Source organism: Homo sapiens, chromosome 2 (assembly GCF_000001405.40).
Source record: "Homo sapiens chromosome 2, GRCh38.p14 Primary Assembly".
In the NCBI taxonomy this organism is placed as follows: Eukaryota; Metazoa; Chordata; class Mammalia; order Primates; family Hominidae; genus Homo; species Homo sapiens.
The window spans coordinates 205,041,969-205,068,508 of record NC_000002.12 but is presented as its reverse complement, the minus strand read 5'-3'; the positions used below and the strand labels follow the sequence as shown (position 1 = coordinate 205,068,508).

At 35.7% G+C, this 26,540-nt stretch overlaps 1 protein-coding gene across 16 annotated transcripts in view; it reads right to left on the bottom strand.

Moving 5' to 3' along the window:
• Positions 1-26,540, bottom strand: part of PARD3B (par-3 family cell polarity regulator beta) — a 1,074,688-nt gene that overhangs the window by 551,654 nt on the left and 496,494 nt on the right. For all 16 annotated transcript variants that reach the window (XM_047443208.1, NM_001302769.2, NM_205863.4 and 13 more), the window contains one exon: positions 20,819-20,928. In XM_047443208.1, the coding sequence (XP_047299164.1) occupies positions 20,819-20,928 (110 nt within the window). The remainder of the gene's footprint in view (positions 1-20,818; positions 20,929-26,540) is intronic.

The following is a 26,540-nucleotide window of genomic DNA, read 5'->3' as shown; positions in this document are numbered from 1 at the left end:
TGGAAAAGAATGAAAGAATAGAGGGTATTAACTAAATCAAAAGCTGTTTCCTTAAAAACAATTTTTTAAACTAATAGTATAGACAAATGTCTACTAAGATTAACCAAAGAGAAAAAAATTAAAAACAGAATATGTACAAATTAGCAATATTGGGGTTAGGTGGAGAACATAACTACACATAAAGTGTAGATTACTTTGAAATCTTAAGACTATGACAATACATTTGAAAATACTACAAATAAATTTCTGGACATTTTAAAAATTGGCAACACACAAAAATTCATCTAGACAAAACAGAAAATCTGAGTAAGTCATCTTCTCCTATACCCTGCCCCATCCCCAAACAGAGAAACAACACATACGCACAGTCCCAGACTGAACAGGTGTTCATAGAAAATATAATTCCAATGCTAAACACAAATTGCTTCAGATAATGGGAGAAAACCCAATCAAGTTTCCCTACACATTTTGTGAGGCTTATGTAGGGCATGTAAAGCATGAACCTTAATTCTTTAACTAAACAGGGACAATGCAAGAAATAAAAGTACAGAACTATCTCAGTTATGTGGATGATAATGTCACAAGTGAAATATTTACAAACTGAATTCAGCAATATATAAAACAGAATGCATCATGGCCAAAGGTGTTTGATAAATGGCCATAGAAATGAAAGGAAGGCTGAGTATTAGAAAATGTATTCATGGAATTACGCTGCTTTCAGTGATAAAAGAAAAAATAGCATCATCTAAATAAACACAGAAATAGCATTTCATAAACAAAATTTATTATTTTAAATGGCACTGAAATAACTGATTTCTCATGCCAAATATTAAAATAAAAATAGACCCACACACATACCACTTAAAAAATTTATAGGTAAATTAAAGGCTTAAATTCCAACTTAAAACATTGGAAAATATTGTAATTCATTTTAGAAATTTTCTTTAAACATATACACTATAATAATAAAAGAAAATTGATAAGCATAAACACTGAAATTTAAAATTTATCTGTAACACAAATTAAAATTAAAGAAACAATTATAGGCTGGGTATCGTGGCTCACACCTGAAATCCCAGAGCTTTGGAAGGCCAAGACAGGAGGATGGTTTGAGGCCAGGAGTTTGAGGCCAGCCTATGCAACCTAGTGAAACCTCTATCTCTACAAAAAAATTTTTTTAATTAGCCAGGTATGGTGACATGCTCATGTAGTCTTAGCTACTGAGGAGCTGAGGCAGGACTGCTTGGACCCAGGAATTTGAGTTTCTTACAGTGAGCTAGGATTGCAGCATTGCACTCCAGTCTGAGTGACAGAGTGAGACCCTTTCTCTGAAAAACAAAAACCAATTATGGACTGGGGAAAATATTTCCAATGCCTATAAACCAAAAAAAAAAAAAAAAAAAAAAAAAAAAAGCCTAGTAAAAGTGGATGCAAGATGCAAAGAAATATTTGGTGACCAAAAAATAGAGTGTTAGTTTCTACTGAGATAATTTCATCTTACTTCCCTTTCCATTAGATCCCCCAGTTTTGTTCAGGTGCACAACCTCCCTTCCCCTCACGCACTGCATGGGATTCAGGGGAAGCTGACTCCAAGTCAGTTTCAACTCATCCAGGGTATTTTTGGACACTTGAAAGACATGAGGAAAAACTGAAAATAAAAGTTACTTAGATGATGATTTAAATAACTTGATGATTTAAATGATGATTTAAGTCATCAGTTATTTAGATGATTTAGAATTAGAAGAAAAACCGTCAAAATGAAAAAAAGCAGAAAAAACATGTTTCCTCATTACAAATTCACAGATTGAGAATTAAGATCACTGATTTCCAAATGTGTTACACCAGTTTATATTCCTATCAGTTTCTACACAAGAGCTCCCATTTTAACTATACCACCTTTCTCATTTTACAGATGAAGAAACTGTCCCTGGTAAGTTAAGTAACTTCTCCAAGACCACACAATTCAGTCTCTAAGCTTACACCAGAAGGCAGGTCTCCCAGTTGTCAGACTACAGTATACACTTGCTGCTAATGAACACATTGTATTTTCAACTCAGGTAGAAATAACAAGAATTATCTGTGGTTTAGAGTTTTCTGCTTCATTGGTTCCTCCATCAGTACAGCCTTCCATGAGAGTGAGAATATTGCTAACTTTCAGGAAAAAGGCACCTATCTTAACTGTATTACCAGAAGGAATTTCTCTTCGTGTTTGATGTTAACCATGCGACCAAATGTCAGGACTCCTGCCAGACAAAGAAATGCTAAAAGGGTGGGTTGTTCTGTTCAACACAATCAGATTAAGATTAGTACCTCAGCCAAATTGAGAGCAGAAAATATGCACAGGGTCTGTCGGGGGAAACTTTATCTGTTCTTACGTTTGGTGAATGTCAGTTAGTTACATGAGATACATTAACTTTCCCAGACCCGAGAGAGTCTGTGTCCTAAATTATTCCTTCTGTGTCCTATATGAGACAAAATTCCCTTACCTATGGAGATGGTAAGGTTTTGTTGTTTTTGTGGTTGTTTTGTCTACCTGTTCAATGAGGCTGATAATAATAAGTATGAATAAATGGGGGCCGTCTTAGTCCATTTTGTGTTCCTATAATGGAGTATCTGAGATTGGGTAATTTATTAAAATATTTATTTAGCATGTGGTTCTGCAGGCTGCAAAGTTCATGGGCATGGCCTGGCTTCTGGCAAGGGCTTCTGTGCTGCATCACAACATGGCAGGGAAGGTTAAAGCAGAAGCAAAAAATGCAAAGAGAGAGAAAATCCATTGGGCATCCTGGCTTTATAACTACCCACTCTCTTGGGAACTAATCCATTCTTGCAGGAACTAATCTATTCTCACCAGAGAGAGAACTCAGTTACTACCACCAGAACAGCACCAAGCCACTCTTGAGGAATCCACCCCCATGATTCAAACACCTCCCACTAGGCCCCACTTCCCAACACGGCTACACTGGGGACCAAATTTCAACATGACTTTTGATGGTAACAAACAAACTAGAACCAAACCATAGCACAGAATGAAATAAAAAATACGTATTTAGGGTTTAAATTATATATTGGGTCAGGATATCTTTATGGCCATGTGAAATTATTCTATGGAAACAAAAAGCTTTTTTTGTGTGTGTTTTATCACTACTGTTGTCGTCAACAGAATGTCTCACTTTGTTTCTGTTTTTACAACTTCACAATTTCATGCAAAATTCTACAGTTGTTTTTCACAACTCCAGTGTTTATTAATTTGTCAGATATATTGTAATCTTCTCACTCTATCTGTGGCATCTTTGAATAAATTCATAAAGATGGTGCTTCTAAGGGTTTCTTCCCTCTAAGCACCAATGTGGAAATAGCTGACCTCATCTTCCTGTGCCTAAGCAGCTTGCCCTATTGAGGCCAGGTCCAGCCTTTCTTTATAACCTCTATTCACTCCATGCTGTTATTACACTGGAGACTGCAATAGCTAAAGGATATTTGTCTAAGATGCAGATTCCCAGACCTTGTTCCCAAAGATTTTTATTCAACAGACTGAGTTGGAGCCCTCAAATTAGCATTTCTGCAACCCCATTTGGTGTTTCTGAGGGAAGGGGTCTTTTGATAACTCTTTGAGAAACAGTGCTTTCAAATTTAACTCTGCCCAGAAAGGTCTTCCTCTACCCAACATGACTTACACATCTTTGTTGCTGTGAATTTGCACACTGACTTTTTTATGCTTATCAAATGTCTACCCTTTCTTTAAAGTCCACATCAAGCCATCTTTTTCCTTGAAGCTCCCTTGACCACATGACACTGAGTTCTTCCCTGAACTTACGGCACTCACTGCCAATACTGATTATTCATACCTGGCCTTGACTCTGGGTATACACTTATGGGAATGTCTGCGCAGTCTTCCACATGGTGAAAACTGCTCTTCTCCCACTGGCATCATACATCAAATGTCTGCAGAACATTCCCCACACCCCCATTGCCATGGTTGATTTAAAGTGCCATAGCTTGGGTAAAGTGGCCATTCTGGGCCAATCAGACTTTTTTTCCCTAAAGCTTAGGAAGGAATTAGTTCCTCTCTGCAGATGGGAAAAGCAGAGTTCTTAGCAGCCACGCATGTCTCCCCAATGTGGAGGAAGACAGTGGGCAGGTAAACAGGTAAACATGATGAAATCTATGAAAGAGTGAAGCAGAAGCAATTGCTTGGATCTCAGATTCCACTTTTTCCTGAAGCACAGCTGCATCTCTCACTTCCCAAGATGTAGATGTTCAACACTCTCATGAATTACATGTGCCATTCTTCAAAAAAATAAAAAAATAAAAAAGTCCCTTGTTTTTCCACTGAACCATTTTAAATTGTATTTTGCCACTTGGAATTAGTTCTTAAATTGTTATTAGCTTATAAAATTTAACCTGTGCATGTTCTCCTCAATGCGATTATAAGTTCCACAGGGCTGTTCCCAATGCGTTGCCTCCAGTATCTTTTCCAACTAATAGCAGAACAGTTTTTACCTCACTTCCCTTTATAGAAACTGGTCTTATTCTGAAATCACCAATGACTTCAAAGTTTGGATATGCGTTTTTTTTTATTTCCAAGCATCTCTACTTGTATCTTTGCCTACAAACAGATCCTATGTTCTGTATGTCAGTTGGTAGAATACCTACATGCTTTACTACCCAAACATGAAAAGTGGGAATTATTCTTGACATCTCTTATATGTTCTATTCCCTTATCCAAGATATGTACATTTTATTTCCTAAATATTTCTGCCATTTATTTGCTTTACAACTAAACAATTTGACATTTACTTAACCTCTATGTACCTCATTTCCTTATCAACAGAAATATCAATGGGACCACCTCATGGGGGTGTTAAGAGGATTCGATGAAATAATATATTTAAAGCACTTAGAAAAATAACTAGCACAAAATAAGTGTAGTTGTGGGTGTTTTATAATTATTACTGAATCAACTGCTGAGTTACACGGATAAAGGAATCATGCTGGTAATTTGGGTGGTTGCCTCCTGTGACCTGAATCATAACAAACTCCTAAGCATTTTTCTACCTGCATCCTTTGGTCCTTGCAAAGACTAATTTCTAGTTCATTAATTTATCAAACAAATTTAGAAATCCAGGAAAACTCAAATTTTGACTTTATTTTTTAAAATATAAAATTTTATTTTTTTATATTTTTTATTAGTACATCATAGTTGTACATGTTTTGAGGGTGCATGTGATACTTTGATACATTCATACAACGTATAATGATCAAATTAGGGTTAATACATTATATACTTCAAAATAGCTACAAGGATTATGATGTCCCCAACACAAAGATAAATGTTTGCAGTGATAAAATTCCAAATTTTAGCTTTAAACGGTTACTTTGGTAGTTTCTGTAACTACTATCCCAAATATACAGAGATAATTGCATATTTGCAAATTGCTAAGAAAACACTGACCAGAGACTAAAGTTGAATATATATAATAGATTAATTAATAATACAATAATTTCCAAGCAAACCCCCTCCCTCACCCCCACTGCAACTATATTTAAAATGAAAGAAGCTGACTTGGAAGGATGGAGTTTGAAGTACATTAAAAATGCAGAAATGTCATAATACTCTCAGAGACCTGTATCTGCTCTGTTTTATTTTCTTATACAGACATAGATATAAGATATAAATAAATTTCATGCTGAATAAATTAAAATACATTTGTTTATTTTTAAAAACTGAGCACTGCAAAAGATACAAAAATATACTGTACATTACCTTTAAAAACATTTTATTCTTTTCTTAATTTCTCTCTGCTAATTTATTCTTTTTTTCTTTTCATTTGCTTATCCATTACTTCTTTTATGCATTCTTTCATTTATTCAATCATCAGTTATTAAATACCTACCACATGCTACTGCTGGCCTGCAAAGATAAAAAACAATACATTCTCCATCCTCAGTGCACTTCCACTCCAAGGGAAGGAAGGGAAGGAAAGAGACACACAAATGCAAATAAGAGTGGTCCTACTGTTTGTGACAGAATTATAAATCACTCTTTCTGGGTTTGGGTGGGAGCGGGGAGCAGGAACTGAGGAGGGAACAGGTAGCTCTGTGGGCACAGCAGGGCATGCCTCAGTCCAGGAACAAGTGTGTGATCTGAGGGCATCCACACTGTGCTCTCTGTGACTCATGTCTGACCTCTGTTATTTTGGTCCTATATTAAACACTAATTTCTCCAATAACATACTTTCATTACGACCTCAACGAACGTATTATCATACATTGCTTTAAAAATATTACATAAAATATTTACATAAAAAAATACTACACTTCTGCTTGGAAGTAGAGTTTCAGAAAAGGGATAGAAAAAGGAGGTGGTATTTTAACCTTGTCTTAATGAATGAGAAGATATCCACCCTGTAAACAAGTGAGGAAGGTGAGTCAAGATAAAGGCAGCAGGACTAGCAAATTAGAGAAGCGTACAAGGGAAGGGGGCTTCCAGAAAACCTCAGGAGATGGATGACAGGTTTGAACCATTTGAAACTGGCTTGTTGCTTAATAATCCGTCCTTTCCTGTTTCCTTCTAGGTTTTCAACTTAAACAAAATAATTATAAGGAAGACAACATTTCATATCAAGAGAAGAAAGCCAGGGCTGGGTTCATTGATGTAGTTCCAATATTGCCTTAAGAACTTGCCTTTGGAGGAATTTTTTTTTTTTTTTTGAAATTAAAAGAACTTGCAAGGGTCTCTATAAGCAAAAGACACTCAGTATGCATTTAATGCTCGACTTTGGAATCAATATTTTTTGCTAGCTGTGTGCTAAGTGCCTTCTGTAAATTAAAGCTAAAGATGATCAAATTCAGCTTTTAATGCAGATTACTCTCCAACTTACTTCTATAGTCTATCTTATCCTACACCTTCTATCCAACCATGCATGGCACAAATCCAACATACGTATGTATTTAACACACACACATAGTGCTTACCATGTGTTCTAAGAATTTTTACAAATAATCACTCATCAATTTCTCAAGACAATCCTGTGAGGTAAGTACTTTTATTATCATTACTTTATAGGTGAGAAAAGTGAGACCAAAAGAAGGAAAACAAACACTTGACAGAAATTGACCAGCAAATCAGTCAGTGGTCAAGCTAGCTTTGAACCAAGCAGTCATGTTTACAGTCCATGTTCTTAACCACTCTAGCCTTCCACATCTCATGGTTCACACTTCCACTGCCATGCCAGAACCTTAAGAAATAATAACCTTTAGTAACCCTGAGCATTTGAGTTCAAAGAATGAATCTCCAAGCTGAATTTCCTGGGTTATTATTTATGATTACTGTTTCCTTTATTCTACCTATATCTTCTATAGACCCTCCAGGCAGTCTTGTTTATTATCTGTATTTCTGGGATGGTGCCCAGCTTCCAGTAAGGTACCTCTGACTCCCAGTAGAACTCAAAGGGAGTATTATGGAGATACTTCATAATAACGATATCCGATGCACAACTTCATTTGGTCAAGCTCCAACCACTAAAGTCCCTTGAAGCTTCCCATTCATGCCCATGTTTTTCAACTCAAATTGCCTTTCTAGTTTCCAGAGTAGAACCATGCATGGGTTCTCTATACATGACCCTAGTGAAACTGCCATCATAATTGAATTTCTTAATATAAGATTCACATTCATGACGTTAGTTGAGAAGCTAAAAATAAAAGCTGTGGCTAGCTCTAGTTTTTATATGTATGCATATTAATTTAAATCATTTCCCTTTAATTATATTTAACACACATAGAAAATTTAGTAATTATAAAAGACCTTTAATTATCAACATTCATTATTATCACTATTATTAACATATATTAAGCACCCACAGTCTGCTAAATGCTGTACTCAAGATAGAAGGCATTAACCTTGCAATTCCACCGTGGCCAATATAGAAGACAATCTTCCTTTTCCAGACACAGAACTAAATTACACTTGCTTAACCTGACAAAGAGTCAATGGATGAGTCAGGGACAAAACCTACATGTCTTAATCACTAGGCAACTGAATAAACAAAAAATTGTTCTAAAACTCTGCTGCTTTCAGCCCATCTGAATGCATTCTTCTATGAATATGAATGTCTTAAATGCCTGCATTAAATTCCTTTGTGGTGGAAAAATTTTCTCCTTCACAGAGGTATCTAAATTGTGTAAACAGTCTGAGACTAACTGTACAATATAGATTTTGGCATCAAATAGAACGCCACCATTTTTGAAGGAAAAATAGTGACTATAAAATGATGAAATGACTTTTTTTAGGAGGAGGGGCTGATAAACTGGCTTTGAGGCAGTTTCAAAGGAAGATTGCCCAAAGCAATGGCAGCATAATGTGGACAAATGCTACTCTCAAGGCTAACATTTGATTTGAGGGGTAGAATGAAGAGTCTATACTGCAGGTTAAGATAAATCTGAATCCTAGCACTGCTACTTGTTAGTTCTGTGATCTAAGGCAAATAAGTTAACTCGTTTGAGCCTGAACTTCGTCGTCTGTAAAATGGAGGCAATAAAGCTGAACTTGCAGATGTTCATGGGATGAAATAATATATTTGAACACATATATTAATAATTAAGTGTCCACGACTGACATGAACTTGGAATTGAAAGAGAAAAGTAGCCCTCCTCCAAGGTGTGCTGGGTAGTATTACGTGGCTACTCGCTAGCAGAAGTAGAATGTAAATTAACGCTATTAAAGCTGAAATTAAATTGCTTCATGGTTGAAATGAGCAATCGTGATTAGAAAATTCCCCCATTCCTTAAACAATATATAAATGCTGCTGTTGGGCATGATGCCGTGTTCTAATGTGGAAGGAAATTCAAGCCACCTACAAGTTTCTAGATTCATAAAGGAGACATATGCAGAAAACTATAACATGGGGTGGAACAAATTATGCTAGAGGTATTCCAGCATGCCATCAGTGGGAAGTGGTAAATTCTGTCCAGAGCAGAAAGGGTGTGGATAAGGATCAGTAAAGAAAGAGGCCATTACACTAAGTTTTGAAGGGTACCTGTACATTCATTAGCAGAAAGGGAGACAAATGATATTTGTCATTCTTCCAGCAGAAGAAACATCTGGGCAAAGACCCACAGACAGAAGCTTTCTTTGCACATGTGAAAAATTATAACTCTCATACATAGGGTCCTTCATGCAGTGTGACTAGAGATAAAGCTAAGCATATAGGTTGTGATTAAGTTTTTAAAAGCCACATCAAGGACTGAGAAATAAACCCTCTAAGGTATGTTCAGATGAGTTTCAACAGTGGTGCCAAGACCATTCAATGGGGGAAAGAATAACCTTTTTAACAAATGATGCTGGGGAAACTGGATATTCACAGGCAAATGACTGAAGTTGGACCCTTATCTAATACCGTGTACAAAAATTAACTCAAAATAAATCGAAGACCTAAACCTAAGAGCCAAAACTATAAAACTCTTAGAAGAAAACATAAGGCAAAATCTTCATAATGTGGAATTTGGTAATGATTTCTTGGATGTGATACAAAAAGCACAGTTAAAAAAAAAAAAGAAAAATTGAACTTCATGAAAATTAAAAATGTCTGCACAAAGGACACAATAGAGTGAAGGGGCAATGTAAAGAAAGAGAAAAATATTTTCAAATCATATATCTGATAAGGAGTTAATATCCAGCATATATAGAAAACTCCTAGAACTCAGCAACAAATAAATGAAGAACACAATTCAAAAATCAGTAAAGGACTTGAAAAGACAGTTTCCCAAAGAAGATACATGAATGGCCAATAAGTACTTAAAAAGATGCCCAGTATCACTAAGCATTAGGGAAATGCAAATCGAAACTACAATGAAATATCACCTCACAGTCATTAGGATGATTACTAAAAACAAAACAGAAACCAACAAGTGTTGGCAAGGATGTGGAGAAACTGGAACTCTTGTGCAATGTTGGTGGGAATGTAAAATGACACACCTCTGTGGAAAAGAATTTGGTGGTTCCTCAAAAAATGAAAATTAGAATAAACCCTATGATCCAATAATTCTACTTCTGGACATCTCCCGGAAAGAAATGAAAGCAGAGTCTGGAAGAGATATTTTACACCCGTATCCACAGTAGCATTTTTCATATTAGGTAAAATGTGGAAGCAACTCAAGTGTCCATCAAGAGATGAGTAGATAAGCAAAATGTGGTATATTTGTATACAAATACAACAGAGTATTTTCAACCTTAACAAGGAAGGAAATTCTGACATATGCTACAACATGGATGATGCTTAAGAATATTATGCTCAGTAAAATAAGCCAGTCAAAAAAGGACAAATACAATTAAAAAAGGACAAATACTGCATGATTCTACTTGTATAAGGCACCTAGAGTAGTCAAAATCATAGGGAGAAAAAGTATAACAGAATGGTGGTTGCCAAGGAAAAGGAGGGAATAAGGAGTTACTGTTTAAGAGTATAGAGTTTCAGTGTTGGAAGGTGAAGAGTTCTGGAGAGAGGTGGTAGTGATGGATGCAGAACAATGTGAATGTACTTATACCATGGAACTATACACTTAAAATTGTTAAGACAGTAAATATATATATTTTACCACAATTTAAAAAAGAGAAAAAAGTCTTTTTTTTAAAAAGCCATACCAAGAAATTTTAAAACATCCTGAATGCAGTGGAGAATGATCAAGGGTTTCAAGGCAGGAGATGTATATAAACATACACACAAACACACACACACGTGTGTGTATATATACACACATACATATATACACATACACATATATGTATATATACGTATACACATACACATATATGTATATGTACGTATACACATACACATATATGTATATGTACGTATACACATACACATATATGTATATATATACGTATACACATACACATACACATATATGTATATATACGTATACACATACACATATACATATATGTATATATACATATACACATATACATATATGTATATATACACATGCACATACACATATATGTATATATACATATACACATACACATGTATATAACACATATACATGTATATATGTATATGTATATAACACATATACATGTATATATGTATATGTATATAACACATATACATGTATATATGTATATGTATATAACACATATACATGTATATATGTATATGTATATAACACATATACATATATAACATACATATACGAATACATACATGTATATATGTATATGTATATAACATACATATAACATATACGTATAACACATGTATATGTATATAACACATATACATACATAAGGTCAGGATTTGTAAATATATTCATATATGTAGGTATATCATAATTTTATTCATGAAACAATAAGAAATCACCTCATACTAGGAGAACCTCGGTGGACAAATTACAAATTATACAACCTTTAAATAAACAATGCCTGTATTTTATGAGACTATGCAAATAAAATTTTGACTCAAGACATTTAGAAACTTTTGACAGGTGCTCAAAACATGCCATAACCTTATATCAATATCAATCGCTTTGATGCCTTTGGGTCTTCATAAGAATATAGCTGAATGTCAAATATATATATATATATATATGTGTGTGTGTGTATGTGTGTGTGTGTGTGTTTGTGTCCTTTAAAAATTAAAATACACTGATTAAAATTAAAGGCAGATAAAAAGGAGACAATTTCTTTAAGTAAATCAATTTTGACTTCTGTTGCTTTCAGTATCTACTTTTTCCTTTCAAAGGATATTCCTTTATGATTTTTGCAACAAATGCTACTTAACCATTCTTTGCTTAAAACGTAGAGAGTTCTGTCTGAAAAATCTGTTGAGAAATATCAGGGCTATGTGAGTCTGAAAATTTCCAGCCAGTTTCAAGTTAAAAAAGATTTGCTAAAAGTAGCAATTTTTTTTTTTTTAATGGTTTTAGTCTGTCAGAAGGCTTCGGATTCTCCAGTGCTTCACACCAGTTACTTCAAAACTAACTCCCTCCAGATGTCCCTACGATCATTTAATCAGACATCAAAAGCTGTATGGTGACAGGCTCTCATGCTGCTTATGAGGATGCTATATGTTTCCACAAGCGTAAAACACTCACAGTAGCTACTTTTTAAAATGTGATTCATCTAAATGGGAATTCTATTTTAAAGTACAGAGCTATTAGGAAAGGGGCCACTCTCCTAAGAAATAAAACTCTTTTAAACGTCTGTACAATGTCATTGTATGACAAGATTTTGAAAGCAGAAACCAAATTGAAACTTGTACTTTAGAAGCGTTTATGCTGTGATAAAAAAAAAAACGTCCCCTATCGTAAGAGAGTTCTATGAATCACACCATGCTCAAAGAAATAATTTTCCTTCTCCTCCCAAGGCCAATTGTCTTGCTTCTTCTCAAGGTGAACTCTCATTAACCCTTTCCTCCTATGTCATCAGTCTTTACTAAATGTCCACAATTTGGAAGGTACATACAGAAGTTCAGAACCTATGGAAGACACAACCCATACCCTTAACTTTCACTTTACGATAACATGACTATATGTACTTTAGCCTTCAAATTTAGGTAGTAGCTTTCCCTCCAAAGAGGGTAAGGGTACACACATACGCATATGTAGGCATTTACGCTGCTGCCTTTGTGTGTGTGGCATTTAAAAAATATTTCTTGATATTATTCATTTGACCAATAAAAAATGATTATTGGTGTTTTGGATGGAAAGATAACCTCACTGCATGACTGGTTATGAACACTGAGACATTAAAATGAAATCTAAAGTTGAACTCATACCAACCAACTTAATAATTCACATCTGGAATCTTGAAGTCACTAGTTTGGATGGATAAGTCCCTAAGAACAACTAGAGTTCATACAGTTTCTCTATTTATTATTTCCCTTCCATTACATAGAATTTCTGAGGAAATCACCCACTATTTAACTAATTTTCTTAGGGTCACAGAGTTATTGATGCAATCACACACAGGATCTTGGTCTTTAAAATAAAACTACTTTAAACATCATCTTTACAAAATTTCAAACAACACTGTCAAATTACATCTGCCCATATTGTGAAAGTGAGATTGAGATGTTTATCAGTGCTTTGCCAAGAAACACGTCGTAAATGTTCTTTCTTTTTAATTAATTCACATACCAGAAGTATTTTTATTTTCTTCCAAATCAACTGAAATTAGAAAAATTTCTTAAGGGAGATGGACTAGGAGGAAAATTTAGAAGGAGAAATCTTTAGATGTAATGGATATAAGAAATTATCCAGAAACTTCTAATCAAGACCTTTCTAAATGTTTTGAACAGTTATTAGAAAATTACAAAGTTATAACTCAAAGATTACTAACTTTATGATTCTAGATTTTATGATTTTTATCATCTAGTCATATATTTGTGATAACGTCTTAAGTGCCAGGCACTGTGCCTGGGGGCTTGAATACAAAAACGAATACACTGGCCTGTGCCTCTGAAGAGTTCACAGTCTTGAAAAAATGCAGTCATGTAAACATTATATTTCAGAGAGATAACAGCTAATAGAGATACTGCACATGGCAATTCCCTTCAGGGGTTAGGAAGGCTAAGTAGAGTACCAAAGTGCAGGCTAAAGGGAAAAAAAACCACTCATTTTGATGGTTAAAACCGTATTATTTGATAATCTGATACATGCTTGCAGACTGCTAGGGCTGTTTAACTGCTTTAGATGTGTTCTCTGTAACGAGGTTGTAAGTTTCTTGAGGACAGGAACCATGTCTTAGGCTTTCTAGAAAGCACACAGCAGAAATCTTGGGCATCTAAGGGATTAGTCAATTTATTTTGACATGAAAACAAAACCCATTCAGTTTTCATTGTGTGCAGATCAAGGCTAAACAGCAAAGGGGAACACCACACACCGGGGCCTGTTGTGGGGTGCGGGGAAGGGAAAGGGATAGCATTAGGAGATATACCTAATGTAAATGACGAGTGAATGGGTGCAGCAAACCAACATGGCACATGTATACATATGTAACAAACCTGCACGTTGTGCACATATACCCTAAAACTTAGAGTATAATTAAAAAAAAAAAAAAAAAAAAATATATATATATATATATATATATATATATATAAAAGACATGTCATGGTTACCTTGTTAATTTCTGAAATTGACCTAAATAGTGATCCTTCTTTTAGAGTTTTTCAGTGTTAGACTAAGACCCAAGAAGAAAAATCGGGGAGCACACACCTAAATAGGGATCTCACTTCTTAGTTTCCTTGATTAGTCATGGTACAGACATTCAGGCAATCCAGATTTGTTTTAACATCTTCTGCTGAGATATGGTGAAAAACTCTGCTGCAGAGTAAACTGGGCTTCAGGTTTTTTCCTACCTGAAACTTGAGTCTTGCAAGCATAACTGATTTAAAAATTAAGCTGCCTAAACTTGCCAAATGAAGTAAACATTTGGCCCCATGAAATATCGGATGGCAGCTTTATCTCTTAAAAACAAAGCCATATGAAAGCCATCGTTGCAATGTGTCTTCAAGCTCTGGTCTTATCAGCACACAGCGTGAACAGCTGGAGTTACAAACACCAGAACTATTATTAAATCACTGTGTCAGGGTGGGGAAAAAAAATAAAAACCTTTTATAGTTTCAGTATCTCTAAATAATGCAGTAGTATATTACATGCTATTTCTCCCCCTGTTTTGCTCTTCAGCATCCATCTCTCCTCTTTGGAAAACAATGGATAGAGCCATCCTTCTAATACACATCAGTACCCACAACATTTATTTTGTTCCAGTGTTTCTACAGATATTTGATTCTACAGAAAAATATGATTTGGTCACTCAGAATGTTTGGTAAGTTATATGTTGGAATTTTTTTTTTTTTTTTGAGATGGAGTTTTCACTGTTGCTGCCCAGGCTGGAGGGCAGTGACACGATCTTGGCTCACTGGAACCTCTGCCTCCCAGGTTCAAGCGATTGTCCTGCCTCAGCCTCTCAAGTGCTTGGGATTACAGGCACACACCACCAAGCCTGGATAATTTTTTTTGTATTTTTAGTAGAGACGGGGTCTCACCATGTTGGCCAGCTGGTCTCGAACTCCTAACCTCAGGTGATCCACCTGCCTCAGTCTCCCAAAGTGCTGGGATTACAGGCATGAGCCACTGTACCCTGCCTTATGTTGGATTTTGATAGTCAGCAACCTGCAACCAAAAGTCCTCTAACATCACAGTGGCGATCAATTATTTTAACCCTGAAATCAAGCTATTTGAATTTCTCTGTAATATCTCGGTGATTTCTTTCATGGGTCTGAGGAAGTTTAATACAGGGGCAATACTGACAATAATTTCAATATATGTGACAAACATGGGAAAATGTGTGACATATGAGGGGAAATTCCTCAAATCAACACGTCATCATATTATCTTAGCAAGACTTAAAGAGAATGCAGCCACTCACTGTAAAAATGCACTCTCACTAGCAGCCACCTGCCACTATCCTCACTGATAACATACCAAAAGCCCCAAAGAACACTGTATTTTCCCTTCTTGTCTCAGTAGAACACACAGGACAACTGGAAACACTTCCCCTCAGGGTGTTTTCCCTCCACCGGTCTGTGTCCTTTACCCCCAATCTTAGAGTTGCTAATAATTGTGTTGATACTGACTAAAGAGTTATTTTTAGCCTCTCAATGAAAAAATGCAAAAACTTCTATTCCTCTTAAAATCTTGAACTTACATATTATGTGTCATGTAAACAGGTGATAATATGATGAACTAACCTTCATTATTTAATACATATTTGCAGGGAGGAAGTGATAATTCTCTACTTCTTAACTTCTCTCATTCTGCTCACTGTGAGAATTAGTGGCTTCCCTACATTATTTAATCTAACCCCCAAACAGTGGTTGATTTTTTGTTATTCTTTTAAAATCTGAAGTAATAGAATCTCTTTCATGAAACACACCCCCATCCCCTGGCTAAGGCATAAAACTTCAGAGAGTTAACAGACCCCCCTGAAATCTATCCATGAACTTCTAATTTAACAACCCCCAAATCTGCCAGCTTATTTTTTTAATTTTATATATATATATATATATATATATATATATACATATATATATAAAATACACATGGACTTTGAAAAGATAGGTCAAGTATTTTGGTGATGTAAGACAAGTAATGGTTTTAGAACAAATAATGCCATTCACTCTCTGAGAACAACCACAGTATTATAATTTTCAGGAATCCAGTTTTTAATTTTCTCGCCCTGCAGGATCAATTTGCCTTAAGGGTTAAATTAAAAACCATAAACAGTCATTAAAACACAAAACAACCTTGCTAGTTAACCGGATATTAAGAAAAAAATCACATCTGTTTTAGAGTTCTGTTCCATTGCAAGTTTGAGAACATCAGTTTCAAGAACCTTGTTTTATGGCATGCCCTTAAGCCAAGAACACCAGGTTACAATCAAGAAAAGGAAGGTAAGAAGTCCCACAAGCAGACTCTCACCAAAATATCCTGTTTCTAGGATTCTCTTTCTGAATTCAAAAGCAGTCAATAGAGTTGGATTTGCTATACTGTCTTGAAAGATAAACAGTTATTACTATTTGCACATTAATGATTGTACTATTCTGATAATTAGGTATGTTGACCAAAAGAGGAACAAAGGAAACAAATTTCTTTGCTGTGTGTCTGGTGTTAAATAACAAATACCAGATTTAGTGGCTTCTCAATATACATAGAATTTGAAGCTTTCAGAGAATCTGATTTTTCTAATTTAAGCCCTTTTTAAAACTCCAGCATGTCTGAGAGTGTACATCTTAAATAACCAATTTGTAATAAATTTAATCAGCTAGAAAACAAGTGTAACTTTTGCAACTTTTGAAAAACACACATCTCTGGGCATCAATGAAAACTCTTCCCTCTACAGTAAGCCTAATGAAGTGCAACTAAAAATAACAGTCATCAACTGTGTTTTAAAGGCAGTATTTCAACATAATCAAATGTGTCAAATATTCATCCTTACAGCTTCTTATGCTGTGGGTTATAAGTAAGTTTCATTTCTTGGGAATGACTGAACATAACCCACCTGGGGCTCTGCCATCTGTGAATTACTTATACGTGAACACTCTTGAAGAGATGGAAATTTTGATTGTTTTTTCTTCCTGTGGATATTGGACTGAAATGCAATTGAACATGGCTTTTTAAGCAATTATTTTTCATATTAGTTGACACATGGCTACATTATCACACACTCCCCGAATTCACCATCACTTATCAAATCATAGGAATCAAGAATGGTGTAGCTGGAGTTGTGAAGGAAGCGCCAAGTACAAAATCCAAGAGATGGAAAAGAATGTGAAGTCTCAGTGTCCGTAGCTCCAGTCCCAGGTCCTTGCCACACAGAACCTCCTCTGCAGGGTACCAGTGTTAGAGTTGTGGTTGTTATGTTCCCAAGGTTTCCTTGAAAGGCTGCTTCTCTTATCAGTGAGCGAACAATAAAAGTGAGCGTAGGGCTATATGCAGGGTGCCACGTAATTTATCATCCATACATGGACACCTCTGACAGTTTGTGAAGACATTATTAATAATTATGCCAGAACAACGGGCACTAACCAGGACTGCCCCAGGCAAACCGAATTGCACTGTTGCCCAAGAGATGATGTGAGGCTCAAAGATCTTCCCCAGGACTCAAACTATCTCATGCATGCTATACCCAATTTTGCTTCTGTCTAGAGCTGCGCTGTCCAATAAAACAGAATAAGAACCACAAATAGAATTTTCAGCTTTCTAATAGCCATGTAAAAAAAAAAAAGTAAAAACAGGTGAAAATAATTTTAATAATATATTTTATTCAAGCCAATATACCTAATATATTATCATTTCCACATATAGTCAGTATAACAATTATTAATGAGATCTTTTATGTTATTTTGTTTATGCTTCAGTCTTTGAAATCCAGTGTGTATATTAAATTTTAAGTACATTTACATTTGGATCAGACACATTTCAAGAGCTCAATAGCCACATGTGGCTAGTGGCTACTAAACTAGACACTGTAGATCTAAACATTCCATAAGTTTGGCTATGCAAGGATATATTAACAGTTATAACACACATATATACACACACACACCTTCCTTCTAGTAAAAATAAACACACCTAAGTGTCTTTATTAATGTTTGCATAATAGGGAAGTTAAACTATCTGTCACTTGCCTGTGGTGAACTAGACCTTGGAGCAGATAAACATTTCCCTGGTAGATGCTCTTTGGGAAACGGAGAGAATGGCTGAGTCAGATTAATTATTATTAATTAGTATTATTATATATTTATATATTAATATATATTAATTAATAATAATTAATTAGCTGGTTAATTTCTAAGAACTTTTAGGACTCTTCCTAGACTTACACGTGTCTTGCATTCCTAAGTCCAAAACATATACACTGAGCATCTTCCATGTACTTGGCCCTAGATAAAGATACATAAGGCACAATGTCTGTACCTTGGGATGTTAAAGCTTAAAGTATTCATGGAGATTATTTTACAACTGAAGCAAGAGACACCTAAGATGTGCCACTATTCCATGCAAGGGCAAGGACCAGACTCTCCTTTTTGGGTCTGTGGTCTGCACTCCATCATCCACAGAGGACACTATGAGGAAAGGAAGAAACATGTGTTTCCTTTTCACTGTTGATACACAGGGACTCAGCCCATATTTGATCACTTGCATAAGTAAGGCACAAGGATTTTGGGCGCCAGCATTTATTCTTGAATTATGAGATGCATCTTTGCTAGTAATAATATGTCTTTCTGCCCCATACCCCAACTTGGAACTCACTGATGTCATATTTTGGTGGGGCTACAGCATTTACCAGATGGACAGTAGCCATCATTTCCTCTAGGGAAAGTAACATTGATGTCATCTTAATTGGTTTAAGCCCAGAGCCTAAGTGATAGAAACATGGAAATAAACATTGGAGGACCGATATGGTTAAGGTTTCTGTCCGGACACAAATCACATCTTGAATTGTAAACCAAATTGTAATCCCCACATGTTGGGGGAGGTACCCTGTGGGAAGTGACTGGATCATGGGCACAGTTCCCCCATGCTGTTCTTGTAATAGTGAGTGAGTTCTTATGAGATTTGATGGTTTTATAAGAGTTTCTTCCCCCTTCACTCTGCACTTCTCTCTCCTGCCTCCTTGTGAAGAAGGACATGTTTGCTTCCCCTTCCACCATGATTTTAAGTTTCCAGAAGCCTCACCAGCCATGCAGAACTGTGAGTCAGTTAAACCTCTTTCCTTTATAAATTACCCAGTCTCAGGTATTTCTTTAGAGCAGTGTGAAAATGGGCAAATACAGGGACTTTCTCCATGCAAACAATGCTAACACATTAATCAGACACACTCTCGTTTTAGGGTACACAGACACACAGACATCATGAAAATGAAAACTAAATTGTAGTTCTGCTCTTTTATGTAATTCTTCTCTCACTGAATAGCTGTCTTCCCCCAATCCAACATAATTAGACTCAACATGGTCTCAACCAGTGTGTGTTTTAAGAAAAGTCATACCACATACCAGTTTTGTTTGTACGTACATTAAAATAGAACACATACACCTGATTTTTATTAATGTTCCATCAAATATATTTCCTTAGAAGGATAGAGTTTTAAATAGGTTAGTGGAAAAACATTACATCTAAAATACTTTCAAGACACCTGCTTTCTTTTAATAATAAAAGAAATATGCCAAAATATTGCCACAAATCTATTAGCAAAGAGCTAATGATTTCAAATAGTGACTCCTATCTCATACACATTGACATTGGTTCTTGATAAGAATATTTTATACCAAATCAGAAAAACCTGTTTAACTCATTTCAGCATCCGTATATACCTATAAATGATGTGTTTATTTTTTCTTAAGGCGTTATAGACAGTGAGACTTAAAGTGAGAAAGAGTCTTGCTTTTAGGGAATTTTTAATATGGCTATGTTATCGAAGATTACCTATTGCAATGGTATATAGTCATTAGCCAAAATTGAATTCTCAGGCTATCTGAGAGGATTATTCACAATTACAGCTCTTCAAAGCAACTGAGGATTTAGCAGGAAGATCCCACAGTCCTATATGGAAGGAGAATATCATCTCTTCAGGAAATTATTCTCCACTTAACCTATTAGTTATAAGTATATCTGGTTATAAGCACTTTTGGTCAATGATTTTGTTTTTCTTCAATCTGAATGCTGAGTTCTACACATCCAATCCTGGCACCACATTTTCGTGATATTGGGAGCTTGAAAATGTACACCACTCACATGGTATGGTTTTGCAAAGCATTGGGTTAACACAACAAAAATATAATGATATCCTTGGACATTACGAAACTGGAAGATGAAGGAAATGTAACAGTATAGTGTACTGGCCAGAAGCAAGGATTTTGGAGCCAGAACACCTGGGTGAAATTCCTTGCTTTGCCACTTATTAGCTATGTGACCTTAAACAAATTACTAAACCTTCCTCTGCCTCAATTTCATTATCAGTTAAATGGAGATAAAAACATGTGCTTACCTTGATGTGGAAGTTTAGATGACTTAATATAAAACAGGTAAAATAGTACTTGGCACATAATCAGTGCCATATACGTAATAGCTATCGCTATAACTATATACAAGTAATAGCCCATACTAGCTATTAGTATAACTAATACTATATATACTATCAAAAGATCTCTATCTAGTTATCAATGTGTTTAAAACTGCAAAGTCCCACTTAACCTATGGGTACAGCACTTTGATCTTTCATTAGAACTACAAGCAGCAGGATACCTACTGGAACAACCAGTTTCAGACTCTGGCCACCAGGGTGTGAAGCGCTTGGCTGGGTATCAGCAGGTGGGCCTGGCACTGGGTCACTGCTTCTCCTCACCAGCAGTGGAGTGCCTGGAAGACAAAGTGAGAGGTGAGAGGTCAAAAGAACCCTGGGGTGAAGAGAGTGCATGACACAATGCACTTTAATTTAAAAGGTTTACAACAGGCTTTTATGTAAAAACATTCTATTTCTAAGGATGCTTGTAAATTAATCCATTTAATGATCTTTTGTCATCTATTTATAGGTTGACACATGGAAACAAAATCTTTCAACTCTCATCTTTCCCCAGTTGCATTTCAAAACAAGCCATTGTGTTTAACAGAAACTGTTAGGCAATGCACAAGTTGACTGTGTACAATCTAAAAACTGATCTAGAAAATATATGTGAGTATTAAAAAGAATGATTATCCAGGAGACGAATGAAGGGATTCACACAGTCAGTGTAATTTGCCATTCAACAGAGCTGGAAGTATAGTTATTACTGCCATTTGGTGCTTTCCAAATCTTTTGAATGATGATATAGACCAAAATAAATTATTTGCTGGGGTTACAACATTAATGCCTATTTAAGTACACAAAGAGATTGCTTCCATTCTCTTCCTCTTCTCCTAAAGTAGATAGAACTGATAAAGAAAATAAGTTAGTTCTTCTAAAAATATATCCTGATTTCTTTTTAATTTAATGAAAGCTTCCACTATTAAATATTTGAGTCAGTTATTAAATTCTGAAAAAAGATCATACTATTAGAAAGTTCAAATGAAATTCAACCTTAGCAGAGCCAGCGGCCTAACCGCTCTGACTGCAATTAGGCCTAAAATAATTTGCTTCATACAAAGTTGGCCACTACAGAGAAACATCTCAAAAAAAATCTGCTTGTGGTTTTAAAATCACTCTCATATAAAAATTAGCGTTTTATTTTTGTACTTTTGGGAAAAGAGTAGAAAACAGTTGAAATGCATTTTCTCATTTCTCAATATTCTGAAAATGATTCCCCAAACCTCTGAAGCGATTCCAGCTTAAAGGAACATTTTTCATCCACTTTGTAGGTTATTTACAAACCTGGTTTTTATGTGTGCTTTAACATTCTTAGTTTGTACAAAACATAGAATTGCAAATATTTTTTTATCTTTGTCCAGATAGAACTTCCTTTTCTTAAAAAAAAAAAAAAAAACTTCTTTCATGATAAGAAATTAACATGCTACTTAGGACACAAACCTATGCCAAAAGGAATTATAAAGTCCAACTTCACATTCCTTTATTTCCTTTTTATTAAGAGACATCACTACATTTTTCACCATCCCTCCACCTCCATCCCAAACATTTCTTAACCAACTGACATACCAATAATTGTACGGTTGGCAATTGTTCTTTGAAATAAAACATTTTTAAAAAAAAAAAACAAGAAGAGTAGAAGCAAGAAAAAGTACCATAAAATTTTAAGAAAGTAGGATCCCAGTCCCATACCAGTATCTTTTTCTGTCCCTTAGGTAATCTGAAGACTAAGTTCCTTTCAGATTAAGCCCCTCAATTACCAGCAACATGAAATGAACAAGTCAGTCTAAATGCAATATCCTCAAAGGAACTCATTATCTTTAAAATTAAGAAAATGGGGCAAAATTCAAGAACTCTGGTTTATTTCCAAGCATTTAATCAGGCCAGTAAATTACAAGTTGATAATCTTGAATGGGAGAAAATAAACAAAAAGTAAAACCAACATGGTTCACCAAGGCATTTCCTCATTGTCAAAATCAACTTGATTTAGAGGCACAGAAGTGAACATTTTAGCGATCAACAATTTAGTTACATTGTTTTATGCAGCTGAGTCATATATATATGTTTATATATGTATATGTATATATATGTATGTGTGTGTGTGTGTGTATATATGGAGAGAGAGAGTGTATGTGTGCGTGTGTGAGAGAGAGAGAGAGACATGGTTTTTCTTAGGTAATAAATACATTTTCTTTAAAAAAGCCACAGTAGGTAATTTTTCTTCAAATTTAAAGACACATGCCTATGAGTCCTCATTCACTATCAGTATCTGCTTTTTAAATAATAACACACTAAAATATTTAAGATATAATTTTATAATAATATGCATTCATGCCAGACGCAGTGGCTCACGCCTATAATCCCAGCACTTTGGGAGGCCGAGGCAAGTGGATCACTGGAGGTCAGGAGTTCGAGACCAGTCTGGCCAACATGGTGAAACCCTGTCTCTACTGAAAATACAAAAATTAGCCAGGCATGGTGGTACGCAACTGTAATCCCAGCTACTCGGAGGCTGAAGCAGGAGAATCACTTGAACCCGGGAGGCGGAGGTTGCAGTGAGCCCAGATAGCGCCACTGCACTCCAGCCTAAGAGACAGAGTGAGACTCTGTCTCAAAATAATAGTAATAATAATAGTAATAATAATGATAAGTATTCAGGTTTGTGTATTCAATCAATATGCCATAGTATTATAGTGTATCCTAGAAGATGACAATTCAGTTTTGTACCAGTGTATCAGCTATTTGAAACATAAAAAAAAAAAAAAAACTTTAAGATGGCTAGATCTTTCTTAAACATATCAGGAATAACTTTCTTCTTCTCGGCTTTTCTGTACTCCACACCTGAATGTCTCCTGTTGAGTATCTTCTAATTTTTCTTTCTCTCTAAATGTGTTAATAACAAGTGCAAATCATTCCACATTGAAATTAATAATGAGCATCTTTAAATATGAACTGTTATCTCAGACTTTTAAACAACCCTTCCTAGAATGTTTTTCTAAACTACTAAACCCTATTTGAAGGTGGCTGTCAGGAAGAGACTGAGTTCCACCTTAAACTGAGAAATGGGATCTAATTAAACTAAAGAGCTTCTGCACAGCAAAAGAAACTACCATCAGAGTGAACAGGCAACCTACAAAATGGGAGAAAATTTTCGCAACCTACTCATCTGACAAAGGGCTAATATCCAGACTCTATGATGAACTCAAACAAATTTACAAGAAAAAAACAACCCCATCAAAAAGTGGGCGAAGGACATGAACAGACACTTCTCAAAAGAAGACATTTATGCAGCCAAAAAACACATGAAGAAATGCTCACCATCACTGGCCATCAGAGAAATGCAAATCAAAACCACAATGAGATACCATCTCACACCAGTTAGAATGGCAATCATTAAAAAGTCAGGAAACAACAGGTGCTGGAGAGGATGTGGAGAAATAGGAACACTTTGACACTGTTGGTGGGACTGTAAACTAGTTCAACCATTGTGGAAGTCAGTGTGGCGATTCCTCAGGGATCTAGAACTAGAAATACCATTTGACCCAGCCATCCCATTACTGGGTATATACCCAAAGGACTATAAATCATGCTGCTATAAAGACACATGCACACGTATGTTTATTGCGGCATTATTCACAATAGCAAAGACTTGGAACCAACCCAAATGTCCAACAATGATAGACTGGATTAAGAAAATGTGGCACGTATACACCATGGAATACTATGCAGCCATAAAAATGATGAGTTCATGTCCTTTGTAGGGACATGGATCAAATTGGAAATCATCATTCTCAGTAAACTATCTCAAGAACAAAAAACCAAACACTGCATATTCTCACTCATAGGTGGGAATTGAACAATGAGAACACATGGACACAGGAAGGGGAACATCACACTCTGGGGACTGTGGTGGGTTGGGGGGAGGGGGGAGGGATAGCATTGGGAGATATACCTAATGCTAGATGACGAGTTGGTGGGTGCAGCACTCCAGCATGGCACATGTATACATACATAACTAACCTGCACATTGTGCACATGTACCCTAAAACTTAAAGTATAATAATAATAAATAAAAAATTTAAAAAAAAGACAAAGAAAGGTAAGTCCTAATGCACAACAGAGGGCAGGTAATTAGGAGTACTGAAGATAATTTGGGCAAAACCTTGAATATATGGTAGAGTAGAAGTCATATTGTACAAGGAAAGCTAACTGAAATGAGAGGGGACAACTCTATCCAGTTTCATAGAGGCTTCCAGTGTTAGGGAGTAAAGGAAACATAACCTCTACAGTGAAGAAGCTTATAAATCTAACAGTAACAATTAGACACTAACACTGCTAACTGTCATGTGTCAGGACAGTGGAGAGGACCCTGGGTTTTGGAGTCAAACAGATTGAGCCTTTGTTTGCTCTGTGGCATTGAACTTGCACTGCTCTGTGACTCAGTCTCATCACTTAAAACTTGGTGAACATAGCACATAACAGAACTGATGGGAGGCTGAAATAAATTAAGGCATGCATAGGACATGGAACTGTCTGGTATGTAATTTTCATACAGGACTCCCTCCCCCAAAAAAGTAGGTAATAGCACTTGTTATTTATTGTGAGCTGTGTTATCTCGTCTGCTTAAAAAGCCAGGCTCTTGAAAGTCAAGTTAATTTTCATGGAATAATTTGTAAATTAAAATAATAAAATCTAACCTTGCACTAAAACAAATATAACCTTACAATACGAATCAAAACTTTTACACAAATAAAGATGAGGTGAGAAGGGAGTTCAAAAATGGGAAAATTTTGCTATTCATTAGTTTTTTTTCAGCTAATTAAGAAAAGACTTATTATTGGAATTTAGAGGCAAAAACCCCAGATTCAGCTCAAGGAACAACAATGTTCCTTAGAATCATAGTTTAAAAGCCACTGGAAGCAAAGCACAAATAAAATAGGAATTGTTCAGTATTTTAAAGCATAAATTCTTATAGAACTGCTTGCTGGGTTTTTTTTTTTTTCACACAGTTAAATATTTGAGGTTGCCCTTATGCATCAGGACAGGGAGAAGGGATGAGGATATTAAGATCAGCAGTCATGGTGTTCATCCACTCTCAAGTTATCTTTCAGAAAAGGAAATGTGGAAATGAGGAACATTTCAGTACACCCCAGCACACAAAAAGGCAGGTACCACTAAAGTGTTCAAGTAGGTTATACGTGGCTTATTGGAGAACACACACCAATGAAAACATACACCAGAGGCTAGATCAAGTCCCCATTTTATTTAGTTGATACTTGAAACTGAATGGAAGCCAAAGAGAAAGCTACTAGATGCAGGAATAGAAGAGTCCCTGATTGGGTATGTAGCTGCTGGTGACTATGTCCTCACCAGATAGGATCTTGCCATATCAGGATAAGCATAATTCTCACTAGAATATTCTCCACTGACATTCAGGACTTATACCACATTCAGGAAAAACTTACACACTCACTTACTGTACAGACCTTTAGGAAGATGGCAAGATTTGTCAGGTTTTAACAGAATTTAGGCCAATTAACACCAGTCAAGCCACGTCCTCATAGGAGAAAGTGAAGTCAGTTCCCAAGTGTCTATGAATGATGGTGCATCTTCTAATTCTCCAGTAATCACTATTTTAATGGTGGGGCAGCTGGTATTAAATGGGGTCCAGGTACTGATCCATGTCCCCTTTAAATGTCACTAAGGAAGCCAAGAGGAGGGTCGTCTAATTCAGTTTGAGGAAAACAATTTTGAAAGTGGCAGCCATTAGTTAAAGGGTGAAATTGGTATACCAATGAATCATGCAAGATATAAAGACCAACAAAAATGTAAGGTGCTACCTCTATAAGTTTCTGTCTCTTTGTTATAATCACACTCTCCCTCTCCCTCTCAGTGGATTTTCATTTGGAGG